Source organism: Homo sapiens, chromosome X (genome assembly GCF_000001405.40).
Source record: "Homo sapiens chromosome X, GRCh38.p14 Primary Assembly".
Taxonomy (NCBI): Eukaryota; Metazoa; Chordata; class Mammalia; order Primates; family Hominidae; genus Homo; species Homo sapiens.
In genome coordinates this window covers 141,013,917-141,018,057 of record NC_000023.11, presented here as the reverse complement: position 1 = coordinate 141,018,057, position 4,141 = coordinate 141,013,917, and positions in this window count along the sequence as shown.

Genomic DNA, 4,141 nt, shown 5'->3' with positions numbered 1-4,141 from the left:
TTTCACCAGAATTTCATATCCAGCCAAACTAAGCTTCATAAGTGAAGGAGACATAAAATCCTTTATAGACAAGCAAATGCTGAGAGATTTTGTCACCACCAGGCCTGCCCTGAAAGAGCTCTTGAAGGAAGCACTGAACATGGAAAGGAACAACCAGTACCAGCCACTGCAAAAACATGCCAAACTGTAAAGACCATCGAAGCTAGGAAGAAACTGCATCAACTAAGGAGCACAATAACCAGCTAACATCATAACGACAGGATCAAATTCACACAGAACAATATTAACCTTAAATGTAAATGGGCTAAATGCTCCAATTAAAAGACACAGACTGGCAAATTGGATAAAGAGTCAAGACCCATCAGTGTGCTGTATTCAGGCAACCCATCTCACGTGCAGAGACACACATAGGCTGAAAATAAAGGGATGGAGGAAGATCTCCCAAGCCAATGGAAAACAAAATAAGGCAGGGGTTGCAATCCTAGTGTCTGATAAAACAGACTTTAAACCAATAAAGATCAAAAGAGACAAAGAAGGCCATTACATAATGGTAAAGGGATCAATTCAACAAGAAGAGCTAACTATCCTAAATATATACGCAGCCAATACAGGAGCACCCAGATTCATAAAGGAAGTCCTTAGAGACCTACAAAGGGACCTAGACTCCCACACAATAATAATGGGAGACTTTAACAACCCACTGTCAACATTAGACAGATCAACGAGACAGAAAGTTAACAATAAGTTTCAAAGAATGAAAATGAATCAAGCAGAGATTGTAGAGCTGAAAAATGCAAGTGATAGGCTGAGGAATCTCTCAAGTTCTGTTAATAGCAGAATCAATCAACAGAAGATGGAATTAATAAGCTTGAAGAAAGGCTATTTGAAAATAGTCTTTTGTCAGAAAAGACGAAAGAAAAACCGAGTAGAAAGCAATGAAGCATGTCTGCAGGATCTAGAAAATAGCTTCAAAAGGACATATCTAAGAGTTATTGGCCTTAAGGAGGAGGTACAGAAACACATATGAGTAGAAAGTTTCTCCAAAGAGATTATAATAGAGAACTTCCCAAACCCAGAGAAAGAGACACATATCCAAGTATAAGAATGTTATAGAACACCAAGGAGACTTAACTGAAAGAAGGGTGCTTCAAGTTATTCAGTAATGAAACTCCCAAAAATCAAGGATAAAGAATTTTTCTTAAAGCAGCAAGAGAAGAGAAACAAATAACATCCAATGGAGCTCCAATATGTCTGGCAGCAGACTTTTCAGTGGAAACCTTACAGGCCCGGAGAGAGTGGCATGACATATTTAAAGTGCTGAAAGAAAAAAATTTTAACCTTAGAATAATATATCTGCAACAACTATCCTTCAAACATGAAGGAGAAATAAAAATGGGCCCAGAGAATCAAAACCTGAGGGATTTCATCATCACTAGCCCTGTCCTGCAAGAAATGTTACAAGGAGTATTTCAATCAGAAAGAAAAGGACGGTAGTGAACAATAAGTTATCAACGGAAGGTACAAAACTCAGTGGTCATTGTAAGTACACAGAAAGAATATTATAAAAAAGTGACTGTAGTGTGTAAACCGCTCTTATTCTAAGTAGAAAGACTAAAGGATAAACCAATCAAAATGTAAAAGCACAACTTTTCAAGACACAGTCAACACAATGAGATACAGAAAGAAATGACAAAAAATTAGCGGTGGGACAAAGTTAAGATGCAGCTTTATTAGTTTTATTTTTGTTTGCTGTTTGTTTGTCAAAATCGTCTTAAGTAAATATCAGATTAAAAATAATGGTTTATAAGATATTATTTGCAAGCCTCAAGGTAACCTGAAACTAAAGAACATGCAATATATACACAAAAATTCGAAGGCAAGGAACTAAATCATCTACCCACAGAAAAATCATCCTAAGAAAAGACGGAAAGGAAAGAAAGAAGGAAGATAAGATAACAAAAACATCTGAACATAAAAATCAAAATGACAGGAGTAAGTTCCTACTTATCAATAGTAACATTGAATGTAAATGGGCTAAACTCTTCCATGAAAAGACATAGACTGGCTGAATGTATGAAAAAACAAGACACATTGATCTGTTGCCTGCCAGAAACACACTTCACTTCTGAAGACACACATAGACTGAAAATAAAGGGATAGAAAGAGATGCTCCATGCGAATGGAACCAGAAAGAAGCAGGATTAGCTATATTCCTAGCAAACAAAATAGATTTCAAGACACAAAATGTAAGAGGAAAAAAAGTCACTATATAATAATGAAGGGATCAGTTCAACAAAAGGCTATAAGAACTTTACATATATGTGCACCCAAGTCTGTAGCACCAAGGTATATAAAGGAAACACTATTACAACTAATGGGAGAGATAGGTCCCAATAGCATAATGGCTGGGGGCTTCAACACCCTACTTTCAGCATTGGACAGTTCTTCCAGACATAAAATCAACACAGAAACATCACACTTAATGTACATTACAGACCAAATGGATGTAACAGACATTTACAAAACACTTCTTCCAAGGACTGCAAAATACACCTTCTTTTACCCAGCACGTGGATCATTCTCAAGGTTAGAATATATGTTAGGTCATAAAACAAGTCTTAAAACATCAACATTCAAATAAATTGAAATAATATCAAGCTCCTTCTCTGACCACCAAAAAACAAAAAAAGAAAATCCCGAAAATAACAAGGGGAACTTTGAAAATTATACAAATCCATAGAATTAAAAAAAAAATATGCTCCTGAATGACCCACAGGTCAATGAAGAAATTAAAAACTAAATTGTAAAATTTCTCAAAATAAATGATCATGGAAACACAACATACCAAAACCCATGGGATACAGCAAAAGCAGTATTAAGAGGGAAGTTTATAGCTATAAGTGCCTACATTGAAAAAGAGGAACACCTGCAAATAATTCATGACGCATCTTAAAAAAACAGAAAAATAAGCTCAAAGTGAACCCCAAATCAGTAGAAGAAAAGAAATAATAAAAGACCAGAGCAGAAATAAATGAAAGTAAAATGAAGAAAGTCAAAACACTATCAAGGAAACAAAAAGTTGGGTTTTTTTTAAAAAGCTATTCAAAATTGAGAAACCTGTAGCCAATCTAAGGAAGAAAAAGGAGAGATCGAGATAAATAAACTCCAAAATTGAAAGGAGACATTACAGGCTAAAGCTGCAAAAATTCAAAGGGCTCTTGTGGTGACCGTGGGAAACTGTATGTGAATAAATTGGAAGATCTCCCTGAAATGAAAATTACTTCCTGCTGACGAGGGGACGGAGAGTTTTTTGGGTTGACAGTAGGAGCAATGCCGTCTGTAGATGTTTTTGGGTAGTTGTCTGTGAAATGGCCGTGATCCTGTTAGTTAAAATTTTCCGAGAAAGGTTAATTAGGCAGGGTAAGAAAATTAGCCCCAGGCATATTATTAGGAGAGGGCCCAGAAATAGGATGACCCATGCTATGATTGTGTTCCCAAACCAAGAACTTATTTGGTTGTTTTGGTACTCCCTTAGCTTTTTAGCCTTTTCTTTATGTTTGTTTTAGCAGCGTTTTTTTACTAGGCCTGATTGGTTGATAAAGAAACAATATTCCTTACCTAATGAGAGGTAGAAGCACATGTTTGGAAAGGCCCATGTGTTAGTTTCTGTTAGTAAGCGTTATTCCTGCTAAGAGGCTAATAATTAAGCAAAATGCTACAGTAATTGAGATTGTTTTTGTCTGACATTTTACCCTGAGGGTGCTACAGTATATAGTTTTACTGCAAATAGTAGGGTGAGTAAAGCAGTTTCCACAAGGGTGGTGTAGTCAATAATTTCCATTAAAAAGTTGTAATATTTGGCTTGAAAGGAGAGATAGGAATGACAAAAGTGTTTGGTGAGGTAGGGGTGAGACTGAGTAAGACGAGCAATTCTTTCTCGGTTATTTATTTTTTATGATTTTTAGCTTACGATTTCCTATTTCTTTATTTGCTCCTGTGAGGGTTAGGGGGCTTAGAGGCAGTGCCTGCTGAAACATCTAGTTTCCAGTTTATAGGGCTTTAAGAAAGCACAGCTTATTTTGAAGTCTTGTAGTCAGAAAAATTAGAATTTAATTAAACAGTAGCAAATAATAACTGAAAA